The sequence below is a fragment of the Homo sapiens genome, chromosome 2 (genome assembly GCF_000001405.40).
Source record: "Homo sapiens chromosome 2, GRCh38.p14 Primary Assembly".
NCBI lineage: Eukaryota > Metazoa > Chordata > Mammalia > Primates > Hominidae > Homo > Homo sapiens.
This window is the reverse complement of record NC_000002.12, coordinates 235,688,243-235,704,395: the sequence shown is the minus strand read 5'-3', so window position 1 is coordinate 235,704,395 and position 16,153 is coordinate 235,688,243. Positions and strand designations below refer to the sequence as shown.

At 49.3% G+C, this 16,153-nt stretch overlaps 1 protein-coding gene across 5 annotated transcripts in view, besides 2 other annotated features; it reads right to left on the bottom strand.

Moving 5' to 3' along the window:
* AGAP1 (ArfGAP with GTPase domain, ankyrin repeat and PH domain 1) overlaps positions 1-16,153 on the bottom strand; it is a 637,751-nt gene that overhangs the window by 427,398 nt on the left and 194,200 nt on the right. The window lies entirely within an intron of this gene.
* Positions 12,701-13,201: an enhancer, noted in NCBI's record as "H3K4me1 hESC enhancer chr2:236599839-236600339 (GRCh37/hg19 assembly coordinates)". NCBI's record gives its function as "activates a minimal SCP1, AML or CMV promoter by ChIP-STARR-seq in primed H9 embryonic stem cells {active_cell/tissue: H9 hESC(primed)}" and the evidence as "EXISTENCE:reporter gene assay evidence [ECO:0000049][PMID:30033119]".
* Positions 13,202-13,702: an enhancer, noted in NCBI's record as "H3K4me1 hESC enhancer chr2:236599338-236599838 (GRCh37/hg19 assembly coordinates)". NCBI's record gives its function as "activates a minimal SCP1, AML or CMV promoter by ChIP-STARR-seq in primed H9 embryonic stem cells {active_cell/tissue: H9 hESC(primed)}" and the evidence as "EXISTENCE:reporter gene assay evidence [ECO:0000049][PMID:30033119]".

Below are 16,153 nucleotides of genomic sequence, written 5' to 3'. Positions count from 1 at the left end.
AATATAGGCATGAGCCACCACGCCCGGCCTCAAATCAGCATTTCTAACAAGCTCCCTGCAGAGCTTTGTCCACACTTTATTACTCTTCATCTTCAATTTTTCAAAATTTGCTAAGCAGATGTTACAAGTGTAAAACTCCAAGAGCGGGAATTTCTGAGAAATGTGAAAACAGCACAGGTTGCCATGGGCAGAAAGTGCTGCAGTTACTGAGGCTAAACTCCTACCCCATAACGCAGCCCTCAGAGATGAGCCCTGCTTCTCCCACCTGGCCCTGCCCATCCCAGTGTCCATGGGAGATCAAGAGGACGCAGAGGGAAATGGGTGTGAGGGGTCAGGGAGCCAGGAGCCATGGGTTTGACAGTGACCTCGGTTAACTTTCTGGTCTCTCAATTTCCTCACCATAAAATAGAAGCATTTCTGGTCGGGCGCGAGGTGGCTCACCCCTGTAATCCCAGTACTTGGAGGCCAAGGGGCGTGGATCACCTGAGATCAGGAGTTCAAGACTAGCCTGCAGGCAGATCACCTGAGGTCAGGAGTTTGAGATTAGCCTGCAGGTGGATCACCTGAGGTCAGGAGTTCCAGACTAGCCTCGTCAACATGGCAAAACTCCATCTCTACTAAAAATACAAAAATTAGCCGGGCATGGTGGCAGGTGCCTGTAATCCCAGGTACTTGGAGGCTAAGGCAGGAGAATTGCTTGACCCAGGAGGCGGAGGTTGTGGTAAGCCGAGATTGTGCCACCGCACTCCAGCCTGGGGGATAGAGCGAGGGAGGGAAGGCTGCACTCCAGCCTGGAGGATGGGCGGGGGAGGGGAGGGAAGCGGGGGAGGGGAAGGAGGGGGAGGGGAGAAGAGGGGAGCAATTCTTTCCTAAGGCTTCTGTAAGGTTCCAAGGAGATGCTGCCAAGGAGGTGGCAGGATGCCTGGGAAAGGGCCCAACTACCCACAGAGGAAGCTCTCCTATTACCTTTGGGGGTAGGATTAAAGAGCAGGAATTGATGTCCCGTTGCCCAGGTGCCACAGCCGGGGGAGGATGCTCCCGCTCAGAGACAGGCACACATGCTACCTGAACTCACTGCTGCGCTGGAGGCACAAGTGAGCCTGGAGTAACACATGGCCTGCCAAGTCCTGATGAAGCAACCACACCAGGGATGGAAAACCGTGGCTCGGGCCGGGCGTGGTGACTCACGCCTGTAATCCCAGCACTTTGTGAGGCTGAGGCAGGCGGATCACTTGAGGTCAGGAATTTGAGACCAGCCTGGCCAACATGGTGACACCCAGTCTCCACTAAAAATATAAAAACTAGCCAAGTGAGGTGGTGTGCGCCTGTAATCCCAGCTACTCAGGAGGCTGGGGCAGGAGAATTGCTTAAACCCGGGAGGTGGAGGTGGCAGTGAGCTGAGATTGCGCCACTGCACTCCAGCCTGAGTGACAGAGCCAGACTCTGTCCAAAAAAAAAAAACCAAGAAAACTGGCTCACAGTGACCACTAACTCCACATGGAGTAAAACAAACTAGAAGGCTTTACTGGAGTCAGTTTTCATCCCAGGTCAATTTATATTCCATCAAACCACATAAAAATTGCCAGATCAATCTGACCACAGCCAGGAGGAGATGTTCCTGCTTGGAGACAGGCACATGTGCTACTTGTACTCGCTGCTGTGCTGGAGGCACAAATATGGTCAAATATGTTTGAATAGTGGCAATTTCACAGTGGGGTTCAACCTACAGCACATAAACGTGTATGAAAAAAGTCATCCATGTGATATGACTACCAACATATACCAAAAATTCTAGAATGGGAAGTAATCCTGGAAATGACTCCAGTTGGCCTATCTTAGCATTCTACCTCAGCAAACAACACCAACAAGGGAACAGGGCCCAAGGACTATGGTCAAGGAAGAGAACTTTCAGAGGATTCTGGACCTGAGATGAGGAAGCCCCACCTTCCCAGGCTGCAGGAGCCTGGCTGCAAGGACCAGGGAAGGCAGCTCCTGTCCAGCGGTGCCTCCACTGCGTCCTTCCTCGGGATTTCAGAGCCTTCTGCTAAAGGCTCCCCCACATTCTTCATTAGACAAGGGAGCCAGGACCTCATCTTCATTAAGACAGCCATCGTCTGGCAGGTGGGCTCATTCCCCAGCAGAGCTATGGACTCTAATTTTCTCCTCCAAATTATCAACTAGAAGCACAGCATGCAGCCAATATTAGAATGACTTGATGGTCTCCCGTGTCACGTTCACCCCCAGCCCAGCCCCCAATTCTGTTTGGCTCCAGGAACCACAAATACGCATTCCAGACAAAACTCGTGAAATTATACACAAGGCTAAAAAAAGGAACCTGAAATTGCAGGTGACATTTTAAAAACAACATATTATCTCAGAAATTGGGAATTTTCTTTGAAAACCTTAAACGTCACAAGGATTTTAACTATTATTTTTAGCACAGAAAAGGGGAGGAGCATTTATTTTTAGTTTAAAGCAGCCGTAAAGCCCCCAAATATAAAACAAAACAACAATGGAAGAAAGATGGTACATCCACAGAGGAGAGGAGCATCGGAGGAGGCTGTGGCTGCCACAGCCTGTCAGTTCTGTGCCGAGGAAGGAAGTGGAGTCTTAAATAGAATAAAGAAATCCATTTCAACGCAGCCGGAAAAGAGCCCGCTGCAAACTGGATCAGACATAATCCGCTGATGACTTTCAAATGTAGGACTTAGCAGAAGTTCACCAGCACAGTTTCAATGGTAGGATTTAATTTCTTATTTGGAAATCCTTGAATCCCTATAATAAATGAAATAAAACATAAACCCTGGGGATACCAGATTGGTTTCAGGCTTCCCTGGAAGTTCAGGCTCAAAGATCCTTTTCAGCAGCCTCAAAGATCCACAGACAAGACAGTTTCCCATCCTGACATGTCCGGACAGCATCCCCTGACCTTGCCATTCACCAGGCCCTCTCAGTGCAGGGTGACGAACACCTGGCCACCAAGATGCCACCATGCCCACCCCTGCAGGTACATCCACGCCACTGCCTGCAATTCCAAGGCTCTTTCCCCTGAGCCCTGAGGCGACTTAGAATCTGTCACAACAACGTCAGCATTTGACTGGGTCCTCTCTCTTCTCCTCTAAGGAAATCCCAAGGCAAAAGTTTGCCGGCCCAAATGGGCTCTAGAGGATTTGCAGGTTTGTAACTTCTTAGAGGATAGTGATTTCCACCCCCCCATATATATAAATATATAAAATATACACTAAATAGAGCATATCATATATACATAATATATAATATGTACATATAACTATATTATAGAGTATATAATATATACATATAACTATATTATAGCATATATAATATATACATATAACTATATTATAGCATATATAATATATACATATAACTATATTATAGCATATATAATATATACATATATAATATATACATAATACATAATATATATATTACAAATATGCTAGCATGTGTAATACATAATATATGCATATATTATACATTATATACATATATTATAAATATATACTATGTAGAGTATACAATATATACATATATAATATATACTATATATACACAGAGAGAGAGAGAGAGAGACAGAGACAGATTCTCGCTTTGTCGCCCAGCCTGGAGTGCAGTGGCACAATCTTGGCTCACTGCAACCTATGCCTCCAGGGTTCAAGTGATTCTCCCGCCTCAGTCTCTTGAGTAGCTGGGACTACAGGCACGCGCTACCATGCCTGGCTAATTTTTGTATTTTCAGTAGAGACGGGGTTTCGCCATGTTCCCCAGGCTGGTCTGGAACTCCTGACTTCAAATGATCCACCTGCCTCGGCCTCCCAAAGTGCTGGGATTACAAGTGTGAGCCAACACACCCGGCCCTCATTTTCATTACAGTTTCTTCAAAAGCATTCCTGAGTGCCTCATAATACCCCTCCAGAATCACGGTGTTCCCCAAGAACGCCCTTGTCGTGGGTGTGTAAAGCACTGCTTAAAGGATTCACGTCTGAGAGAATCAAAGCAGAGGGCGTGAGGATTTGAAAGTCAAAACGGCAAGGAAGAAAATTGCCCTTTCCTTCTTAAAATGTGAAAACAGAGGCCCACCTACAGCCTTGAGGAGTGGAGCACAGCTCTCCTGCACTGCTGGGATTATCTTCCGCATTTCCTTCAGAAGAACTGTGTTCCATTAGCTGAGGCTGCTTCGGAATATTTAATGCATAAATAATAACTTCATAGTCCTGAAACCCATGCCCCAATTCCATCCCGTTTCCATCTCACTGTTATAAACCAAGGTGATAACAAGTTTTGTTGCAAGCATCTTCCTAGGGCAGGTTTTGGGTCCAGTGCAGTACAGCCTTCTGGCCCCAGCTTGTTAACCTACAGGCTGAGTACAAGCTTGTTCACAGATGCAGGGAAGAAGTTCATCCCAAGCTACAGAAACAGGCCGTTCCCCCAACACCGAGGTCCCCAGAAGAACCAGCCTGAGGTTGCCTCCAAAACACATTTTACAGCCTCCCTGGCACTTCTGGCAAAGCCCCACACCTCATAGCTTCCTTGTTTCACAGGCTCTCACTTCCATCTTTAATTCCTGAACCTGGACAGCTTGGTAGAGAGTGCAGACACCCCCACTGCGAATGCTGGTTCTCCTGGAGCCCGGACTGCTGACGCAGTCAGCAGAAGGAATGGCCTGCCCATCCTATGGGTAAAGCACTGTGGCTCTCAAAACCAAAAATGCTTCTGAGTTTGCATCTCTGAGGGATGTTAACCACTTTGGGCATGGAATGCAATTTGGATGTGGTGCTTCACTTTTTGGAGGGCATTTCATGGCTCTAAGAAGTAAATTTCAGCCACAAAATGCTCCAGGGGTTTTACAAAGAGGGAGGGAGTATCCAGGATCCCATTTAACCCGTGAGAATTCAAAGGAGTCACAGAACTCCAGGGGAAAAAAGTACAATTCAACTTCTAGTATATAGTGAGCTCCAATGTTATAAAGTCAGCCCCAATTTCCCCTGCTAAAGGGAACAAGCACCTGATCACCATCATCCAAAACCTTCTTAGTCTTCTTACAAATACATCAGGCTCTCTGTAGCAAGACAACGCAACCAAAGACACTGCCTGTATCTACAGGAGGTCTCCCCAAGCCCTAGACCCCCATCCCCCTGACCCAGCTCATCCGCTGTTCCCATGCCCCAGCAGTAACACCCCACCAAAGTAGGAGAAAAGCTGGAGGGGAAGGGAGGGGGCATGTAGGGACGTCCTGCCCGACCAGTTCTTTCCCTCCTGCCTCCCCGTCCCTCCTGTGCGAGCCTAGGTGGGGTGGGGGGGGGGGATGTCTGATGCCCGTGGTGGTCCAGGCCACCATCTCCTGCCTACACCACCAACCAGCCACAGGTATGGGCACGGGGCTCCCCTGTGCTCCTCTCCTCTCTAATCTCCAGACACCTGCCTTCAGGAGCTTGCTAAAAACCCACCCTGGGGTTTTCACATGCTGACTACATGTTCAATTTATTGTTGAGCCTCTGAGTAACTGAGCTTCTATCTAAAGTGGGAAGAGCAATAAAAATTTAAAAATTGTGATAGGTATGATGAATAATTATGCAACCATCAAGCTGCTACAATAACAAGAACCTGAGAAAATGACTGTAGGAACACACTGAGCGCCACCACCAGAACGCCAGCTGTCACACTAGGGAGACACGGCCTCCCGCCAGGGGTTCCTGGCACCCCTAAGAAGCGGTAGAACATTGTCACCTTAGACCAAAGCCAGAATCCTACATTTCATATAAGACGTAGAATTTTGAACAGATCTCGAGAATGCTTTAAAACATTTTAACACCTAAAATGAAACTGCTGAGTCCTTGAAAGTGAAAATGTTGAATAGGGATATTTTATGAAAAGGTACAAGTCAGAAACTGCAAGAAAAAACAAAATCCGTAGGTTAAATTCACAGCCATTTTTTTTTCATGAGATGTAAGAGTAGACAGCTATTTGTCTTACTGCAGTTTGGGTGGAGATGTATATTAAAACAGGGGTCCCCAACCGCAGGGACGTGGACTGGTACTCATCCGTGGCTGGCTGGGAACAGGGCCACACAGCTGGAGGTGAGCAGCGTGTGAGCAAGCAAAGCGAAGCTTCATCTGTATTTACAGCTGCTCCCCATAAGCTCACACCACCTCCTGAGCCCCGCCTCCTGTCATATCAGCGGCGGCATTAGAGTCTCACAGGAGTGCAAGCTCCACTGTGAACCACACCTGTGAGGGATCTAGGATGTGTGCTCTTTATGAGAATCTAATGCCTGATGATCTGAGCTGGAACAGTTTCATCCCAAACCATCCCCCCTCCCTCGACCCCTGGGTCCCTGGAAAAACTGTCTTCCACAAAACCAGTCACTGGTGCCAAAAAAGCTTGGAGACTGCTGTATTAAAAGATAATTTCGACTGCAGCTTAGATGCTGGTAGTATGCAAGAGCCACTGTATTTGCTGAAGTTAAGACAAGTTGATAGACACGAGAACATTTTCCCTGGTTAAAATAAAGAACGCAGGAGACAAGATATTTACAATTCATATGCTGAGTTTCTGTCAGTCCTGGGCTGGATATAATTGGGCCTGACAGTTTTCATTCCAGAAAGAATTATAAACTCAGTCAGTCATACTGTTTAATTCATGGTGAAATTAATGTTTATAATAAGGGATGGCTCAATAATAGACACAAATAAATCCAGAAGATTACCACAGAAAGAGCAATCAGAATTAACTCACTCCTTACTGTTGCTGAATTTTCGCCACAAGAGCAGACTAAGAAATTGGTTGGGGGAGGGTCCGTGGGGCAAGGTGAAGGGAGCACAGTCTGTGAAGCCAAGGGTCACCCCTCCCAGGCACAGGGGTGACAGACACAGACAGTCCACTAGGTATTGGTCCCCCCTGCCATGTCACTCACAGAGAAGCATTGCTTCATCGGGGATTGCAGGGGGAAGTGGGGGCACTGGGCACTTAATGTGGCTAAACTACTTCTAACAACCTCACATGAAGACGAACAACATGTACACCCAACACAGCTAACAAGCAAACCAGCACCTCCCCATCCCGATGCGGCAATGCTGGTTCAAATCCATGCTCTACATGGAACGCCTGGGCAGCTTTTCTGCGAGTCACTTAGCCTCTTGGGGCCTTAATCTCTTCATCTGTGAAATGGGAGGGCTGCCTCCGGTTCTTCCAGCTCTCACCTCCCAGAATCTGCTCTTAGTAAGAACACCCTTTCCACGCAGACCTAAAGCTGGCTGGTGCCTGGGGCTGTCCCAGCTTCTCTCAGGTTAATGGGCTGGCACTGACCTAAGGGGAAGGTTCAGCTAAAATAACCGGACTTAATGGCAAATCGAATGAAACAAAAGTTAGGATACTTCTCTTTTTTTTTTTGAGATCGAGTCTCCAGGCTCTGTCGCCAGGCTGGAGTGCAGTGGTGCCATCTTGGTTCACTGCAACCTCTGACTCCCTGGTTCAAGAGATTCTCCAGCCTCAGCCTCCCGAGTAGCTAGGATTACAGACGTGTGCCACCACACCCAGCTAATTTCTGTATTTTTAGTAGAGACGGGGTTTCACTGTGTTGGCTGGGATGGTCTCGTATAAGGTGGGGACGGGGCTCATTCTGAGAGGTGGCATGGATAATTTTTCCCCCACAGATAAGTCTGCAGCACATGCATGGGAAAGGGGCAGCGATAGCATGGTGCCACTACTAATTTTGTGATTGTGTTACATGATTAAAACAAATCCTGCCCATCAGGTTGTAATGCTCAGCAAATCTAATCAGCCTCCTGGGAGAAGGTCTGTTGAGCCGGCTGACCCACACGGACCATCTCTCATCCCTGTGAGCTTGGTCTGTGGCCTCACATCCAAGATGCCACAATCCAGGCTGGAAAGCGTGGAAGCTGGGGCACCCGACCCGCCCTTCACACTGAAATGTCCACTGTGCACCCTGGGACCTCACACGACTCTTGGTTCCCCTGTCACTGATGCTCAGGGTAAGGGTCATAAGCCATGGTTTAAAAATTGGTAAACAGGCTGGGGGCCGTGGCTCACGCCTGTAATCCCAACATTTTGGGAGGCCGAGGCAGGTGGATCACCCGAGGTCAGGAGTTCAAGACCAGCCTGACCAACATGGAGAAACCCTGTCTCTACTAGAAGTACAAAAATTAGCTGGGCATGGGGGTGCACGCCTGTAATCCTAGCTACTTTGGAGGCTGAGGCAGGAGAATCGCTTGAAATCGAGAGGCGGAGGTTGCAGTGAGCTGAGATCACGCCACTGCACTCCAGCCTGGGCAACACAGTGAAACTCCGTCTCAAGAAAAATGGTAAACAAAACAATCATGCAGGTTCCCTCTGGGCAATACCCATCCTGGTGCCCCTCTGTCGACAACCCCATGCAAGTGTCTCCTCGGCCCTCCTCTGTTCTCAGCACAGACCTTCCGCTGGTGCACCCAAGGGAATAAAACTTGAAGACTACATCACAGAGGGGTTGGTTATTCAGTATCTCCTGCAACAATGCTGTCTGATGTCCAGAAAAGAAGCCACCTCCTTGTGAAGGACAGTGACCCCTCTCAGCTCCCTGGGCTTGGAGCTCAGATGCTCCTGTGAATACGCATGGTTTCTTTGTGCCCCTGCTGACTTACCTCTTACCTCTTTCACCCAGCAAAGTGCCCCCACTGCGCCCGGCCCTCTGCCTGACCAGCTCAGATGTGGAAGAGACACTGCTCTGCCAATATGTATGCTTACAGGCAGACCTAGGCCCCACCAAATACTGTGTCCAGAACAAAAGCTGTCTGTTCTTGAAAAAAGTTCCACGACAGATCAAGTGTAATATACTGAGCACAAACACTGGGCTACAGATCGTCTGTAACCTGAGCCGCTGTCTGTTCACCATGTAACTGACTGACAGAGACGACATATAAACACCCGTGAAGGAAGCTGTCTTCAAGAATATCCAACTGATCTGACAACAGCAGCTATCTCTGAGGGACGGGGGTAGGGGATTGCCTTTTTCTCTTTACCAATTTCAATCCTGTTGTAAGTCTTTACGATGAGCATCTACTATTTCTATAAGATAGGGCAATAAAGGTGCACTCATGGAAAGAAGTAGTTCCTTTCTACACCTCTAAGAGCTATTATGGAGTGAACTGACTCATCCACATCCACATGGTGATCAAGCTGAAACCCTGAAGCCTGCGAAGGTCAGCCTCGATGCTTAAAACACTGGCAAGCATAATTAAGGAGGAAACACGAGGAAAAGGTCCTTGTTATTTCCCAGCTTCTCATCCTTCACACCATGAATGTCAAAGATTCTTAACTGGTTTTGAGGTTATACAGTCTATTTAATAGTAAAATAGACACAAGAATTTTTAAATACTTACATTCTCCAACTATGGAGCTCCGCTCAGCACCTCTCACCCGCCCTGGGCATCCCTGTTGCTTGCCTTTGGGTTAAACCAGGTGAAACTGCGAAGAAGCCGGAACCCCCCATGCATCCTGGTGCTTACACAGCCTCTCTTCATTTGATCTCCAAGTCTGAGACGCGTTTGCTTCCTAATCACCCATAACTCCTCAGGAGAGGAGAAGAGCACCCCACATATACAAGGTGAGCTGTGCAGTGACAGCAGGACTTGCCCCGAAAGGTGCCCAGGAGATGCCTGAGCAAGACGAGGAGGAGCAAGTGTCCTTGGGAAGGTAGCAGCTTCCTTTTTTTCTTTTTTTTTTTCTCCCTGAGGCGGAGTCTCGTTCTATTGCAGAGGCTGGAGTGCAGTGGCGCGATCTCGGCTGACTGCAACCTCCACCTCCCAGGTTAAAGCAATTCTCTTGCCTCAGCCTCCCGAGGAGCTGTGATTACAGGGCACTGCCACCATGCCCAGCTAATTTTTTTTTTTTTTTTTTTTGAGACAGAGTCTCGCTCTGTCGCCCAGGCTGGAGTGCAGTGGTGCGATCTCGGCTATCTGCAAGCTCTGCCTCCCGTGTTCACGCCATTCTTCTGCCTCAGCCTCCCAAGTAGCTGGGAATACATGCGCCCGCCACCACGCCCAGCTAACTTTTTGTATTTTTAGTAGAGACGGGGTTTCACCATGATAGCCAGGATGGTCTCGATCTCCTGACCCCATGATCCGCCCGCCTCGGCCTCCTAAAGTGCTGGGATTACAAGTGTGAGCCACCATGCCTGGCCAAATTTTTGTATTTTTAGTAGAGGCGGGGTTTCACCATGTTGGCCAGGCTGGTCTTGAATTCCTGACCTCAGATGATCCACCCACCTCAGCCTCCCAAAGTGCTAGGATTACAGGTGTAAGCCACCACATCTGGCCAGCTTCCCGATCTTATTCCTCATGCTTTGAATCACTAGACTTCAAGATAAATGGACAGTTAACTATGCAGCTTCCAGAATCACATGGTAGTTTCTGTTACTTTTTATAAAATGTTCCTGGTATGCTTTGCAACATTAACAGACATTGAAACTGCCATGTTTTTCAAATGGGAACGTCATTAACCCCCAAGTAAGGGCTGAGGATCAACTCACAGGACCCACACTTATGCCAGAGGAAATCAAGTTTATTTCTGATTTTTTCAGTGGGAATAAAAGCTAATTCAAATCTATTCTCAGTTAACTCTTATCTAATTTCTACATCCTCCTATGAGAATAGCAAGTACTACTACTTCTAATGTTTTGTGGGGTTTTTTGGAGACGAGGCCTCACTATGTTGCCCAGGCTGCACTCGAACTCCTGAGCTCGTGATCCTCCCGCCGCAGCTTCGAGTACCTAGGACTACAGCCGTGAGCCACCAGGCCTGGCTTAATGCTCTTTTAATGAGAGCTTTCCGCAATGCCTTCGCATGACTGTGGTGGGCACCAGCCTGTCCCTCTGTTCAGGGGTAAAGCCTTCAGTACCTGGCTGCTGGGAGTGCAGGTGGCTGATCACTCTAGGCTGAGTCCCCATGCCAGAGACTGCACTTGGGCAGAGAAGTGAGTGGTGTGGCCCAAGGATATGACCCCTGGAGGGCAGAACACGTCCAATCATAGACTGGTGACAGGCATAAAGGCCCAGCCCCCGTGCCTACTTGGGGATAGCTTTGAGTACTACCCCAGCTCCTAAGGCCACAGTGCCACCACCTTCAGGACCCTTGAACCCTTTGCAAAGACTGCACTGCAGCCCCAAAGCCCCCTCCTCTAGGCCTGCCGGCTGAGCAAACCCTCAGGCGGGAGCTCAAGAGGCACTGCAGGAAACATTCTGCACATGCTCTCCTTCCAGAGCCTCCTTCCCAAGGAGTCAGCCTCTGCATGGCCTTCCCCAGTGGTGACTGCCGCAGCCCACATCAGGAAGGCCCCTAGGCCAGCAAGTGGAATCTGACACTCTACAGTCCACACTGGGCCTCAGCCACTGGCCTGCAGGCCACACTCCCTCTCCCATGCACAGTACCTGCCAACTCCACTGATGCCACCACCGACAGCAACAGGTCCTGCTCACTGCCTCCCTCCCTCCCTCGCTATCTCCGGAGCCAGGCAGTGCCACATCAAGGGAGATACGCACACCAAGCACACCCTGACTCCGCCTTCGAGAATCAGCAGAGCAGCCGACCAGCAAGTCCACCGCAAGACCTGTGACTGCGGGCTGTAACAAATGCCATGCAGGACACACGAGGCGGCAGGGAAGGATAAGCAGGGAGGCTGGCGGGGTGCACGTCAGTCATCGGCTTCTCTGAGGTGCTGGGCCTGAGGGCTGAGGGTCAGCGAGGGGAACCCACTGGCTAGGCACTGAGGCTGAGTCAGAAAAGGATGGCCCAGGAAGGCAAGGGGGGAGGGCAAGGGGGGAGAGCATAGGGGCAGCAGGGCGAAGTATGGTTTGATGCTGGGGCTGGAGTGCAGAGTTTGGGTTTCATTCTAACGGCAGTGGAAGTCACCTGGTGGCTTTTGGGAGTTGGCAACATGGGTCACATTTTCTAGCTGGTGCCCCTCCTGTTTCCTAAGCCAGATTAGGCTCGATGTGCACCTGGCAGTGCAGGCACAAAGGAGCAAAGTGGACGGCCCAGTGCTGGAGAAGGCAAGGTCCCCACTGGCACCCTGGGGAAGATGGAAGGCAGGGGCCACGTTCTGTTACAGAGGCGAGGCCAGAGGAACAGGTGCAAGGCAGCGGGCATATCTACATGGCTGTCACCACCTAGACACGACGAGACCTGGCCAGGTAGGGGCATCTGCCAGGGAGCCCCCGGCTTTGGCTTATGGATACATAACGCATGTACAAAAGCTTCTTAGATGAATATTCAAACTCAATATGCGCACTTGGGGTCTGAATTTATTTTGTTTACTTGGTTTACATCCTCTTGAGAAAACTTTATAGTCTTTGTTAACTGGCTCTGTCTTACCACTAGTAACTAGATAACCAGCAACTAGAGAATGTGCTATCGTGATGCTGTTATTTCTCTGAAACATTTCACAATATGCTGCATGTCTGTTTCTACTAGGAACTCCGATTTTGCATCCCTGCCTTGCCTCTAAGTTCCCTCTCCTGGATGTCACTGGCCATTGTCCCCAAGCTCATCCCTATCCAGTACTTTCTCCTAGTGGGTGAATGGGGGGCGGGCAGGAGTGCAGGGGTCAACATGACGGAGGTCACACTCAGGACAGGGAAGGAAGGGAAGGGAGGCGTGGTCCCCAGACCAAGAGGCCCCTCAGTTCCCCAGCTTGCAGCCTTCTGCAGATGTGCATAAGCCCAAAGCAACATGATTTGTACTGAGTCTCCCGCTGGTGTCCACTGTCCAGCACTTGTCAACATGGGACCTGGCTGTGCTCACATCCACAAATGACCACGGCTATCCGACTGTTTTAGAACCAGTGTTGCTGTGTGGAGGAAGAGGGACTCACGACCAGTCACAGAATCCGACTAAATGTTGGCACATCTCAAATGAGTATCTTTACAGTCTTCAGCGGATTTTAAAGATGTGTTAAATCTACTTTTGCTTCTCGCAACGGAGACGTGTAACAATTCCTGTCTCCAAAAGTAAGGCACTGGCAACCATTGGCCATTACCAACGTGTGCCTTTCTAACTTGCCACCAACAGGGTAGCATCCACTGCCAGAGAGTGACCTTTCCCTGGATATGACAGTCCTGGGGCCAGGCACAGAGCCCTATGCGCATGTGCTTGATTGACGGTGGGAAAAGGCACCAGCATCCAGCAGCCCAGAGCCTCTCGGGGCTGGGGTCTCTCAGAAGGGACCAAGGCCTCAGAATCGCATGGGGCAGACTCCTTGCTGGCCTCACCTCGGCCTAGGGAGCAGAGTCTGGAGGAGGGGGTAGAATCTTGTCTACAACCCCCACCTTGGCACTCTAGGCACACTAATCTGAGTGTTCTAAGATACAGGCTCATAGCCTAATTGGAGAAAACCAGGTGGTGAGCGACTTCCAAGAAGGCTCCTGGCATATCTAAAATAGCAGCCACGAATCCCTGCCAAACCCTCAGGCCAGATCCGAAGTATTTATATGGCTGGATTTAGAACTCTGAAAATAAAACATTGATTTTGACTTCTCGAAACCAATACTATGACTAGACTGGAGAAAAAAATAAATAAATCAAGAAGAAACACAATGACTTTACCCGAAGATAACCGTAAAAGCAACAAAAAGTCAGTATACCTGCCCCAAGCAGACAGGTGTCTACCAATAGCCGGAAGCCTGCACCTCTTTCCAAAGAGCTCCTTCAAACACATTCAGGGCCAGGAGCACTGGCTGCCCAGCCCGTCAGAGCTCCTCAAGCAGACGCTCTGCTGTAGCTCTCAGCTTTAGCAATATCCATTCTACCTCGGACTCTGGGTCTGATGTGGCTGCTTAGGTGTCTGAGTTGGCCAGCCTCCTCTACCGGAAGCTAGGAATAAACCATGCTTTCCTCCTTGGCTATCACCTTTATTTTAAACTAGAAGCTGTGTCTCAATGTTTCAAATGCATAATATCAAGTGCTCCAATGTGAGCTCTGCCTTTGAAACACAATTTAACCTGAAGAGCCAGGCTCCCTCCTGCACCTGCCCCCAGGGCACGGCCTCCCCAGCCCCAGGAGTCCACCCCACCTGCTGCTTTCACCTTTAAAGGGTGGGGTGCGGAGGGAGGGTCAGAGTCCCTTTTAGCTCAACATTCCAGGGTTGTTTAAGACTGTGTACTAAAGTTCTCTGAGTGGTAAAAGTGAAGCCACTGGACTGGCTCCAAGCAGGTAGCAAGTGAGATCCCTCAGTACCTCAGGTAGGGGGAGAGGGGAACCTGGGGACTCAGCACCTGGGGAGAAGAGAGTGTCAATACTGCATGAAAACCCCGAGGGAGAGACACCCAGGGGCTTAGAACTCCCAGTCACCTTTGCATTTGCTGTGATATCACTTTCATCAAACGCATGCAACAACGCGATCTATTTACCATCTGAAAAAATTAGACCAGGGAAAATAAACAAAAGCAGTATTTAAAAAAAAAAATACCACAAATGACACTATAGGTTCTGAAGTGCATCATGCACACAGAAACTCCTGGAAAGGAGGTGTAGGACACCACCCCAGATGCTCTCCTGGCAGCAGCCTCAGCCCTGCTGGCAGAGTCTCTGCAGGCACGAGCTGACACGTCACACAAGTGTGCACGTACACACATGCAGGACAGTTTACCAACAGTGCAGCTCTATGACTGTCCTGAAAAGTGGAACTCTCAAATGAGTGGAAATGTTGCAGATACTTCATTACACAGATTTGAGGTTAGGGGAGGTCCCTATGGTGACCTGCCAATTTGGTGTCCATCAGAAATTATTTGCCTGAAACAATGAAAACAAGAGGGGAGTTGAGAAACAGACTTAAGACTTTCAGAATTCCCCACCACACAGTACCATCTTTCTCTGGCTTACAAACGCACTATTATTTTCCTGGACAAGCTATTCTGCCTGCCTCTCTGCAGTCAAAATTGTTATGTTCTATGGTGTAATGGAAACATAATCAGTGCACTACTTTCTGCTCACTAACCCGGTATTGTGCTGGAGACCCTACGGGCCGATGAACAGCAGCAGGCTCACTCCAGGCCCGCGTGGTGAGCTGTGCAGTGACTTGTGGACACGGCAACCTCACTCTCTCCATTGCTCTTGCTCTAGCTCCAAAGTGCCCTGAACCATCTCGGTGCTAGCGAATGAAGAGTGTCCAAGGCATAGGCAGGGCCGGGGCCATCTACCGAAGGCAGCACAAGGGCCAGCAAAGCGCAGAAGCCCTGAAGCCCCTAACTCATGGGATAGCCTTGGGCTTATTTCTTCATTGCTCTATAAATACGTATACGTAGATGTCTCCTACAGATAACCAATCAATCAATCTTATAGATTTATGGGACAATAATCTACCGCACAGGGTTGTTGCTGGAATCGCTGCACAAATGCAAGCAAAGTGCTTCCAACAGTACCCAGCTTGGCGAACGTTACACGGGTGCGGCTGCTGCTGCTGCAATTGCGTTACTGTGACACAGCAACAAACCCAGTCTAAACACAGGCACAGTTGGTTCTGGCCCTCAAACAGCACTAGCGGGTGAATGAGGGGCGGGATGAGGGGACCCAGGCCTAGTCATGCCACTGACTCCCCTGCTCCTCCAAGCTGTCACCAAAGCACCCCAATGCTCATTTCCTCCAATGCAAAATGAATACACAATGACTTTTCTTTCAGCAGCGGTGACTCCCTTGTCTAGTCTTAACGGGTACACACGTGGTCATGACGAAAATCTGAACAAAAGGAAAAAATTCCAATTCCCACTTCCCACCCACCTATAACTGGAGATGTGGGATAGAACAGATTCTAGTAGGGCCTGCAGTCTCATGTGGCAGGATCTGGCTTTTTCTGAAAGCAGCTTACATCTGCAGGGCATACTAAAGTACCCCAAGAGAGGCAGAAAGTTTCGGAAGTCTGTCTGAAGTAGAGGGGCTGGAAATGTGAGAGGTGAGTGAGTGGAGGGGACCGTCATGACCTTCCAGAGAGAATGAAAAAAACAATGTTGGGAAAGCAAAAGTGGAGAGTGCAGATTCCTTCCTGCACACACCTGCTCCCCAAACAGACACCACAGACCTCAAACACCAATGAGCAAAAGGAGAGATCACACTCCTAAAATACTGACACCTCTGTCCATCTACAGCCC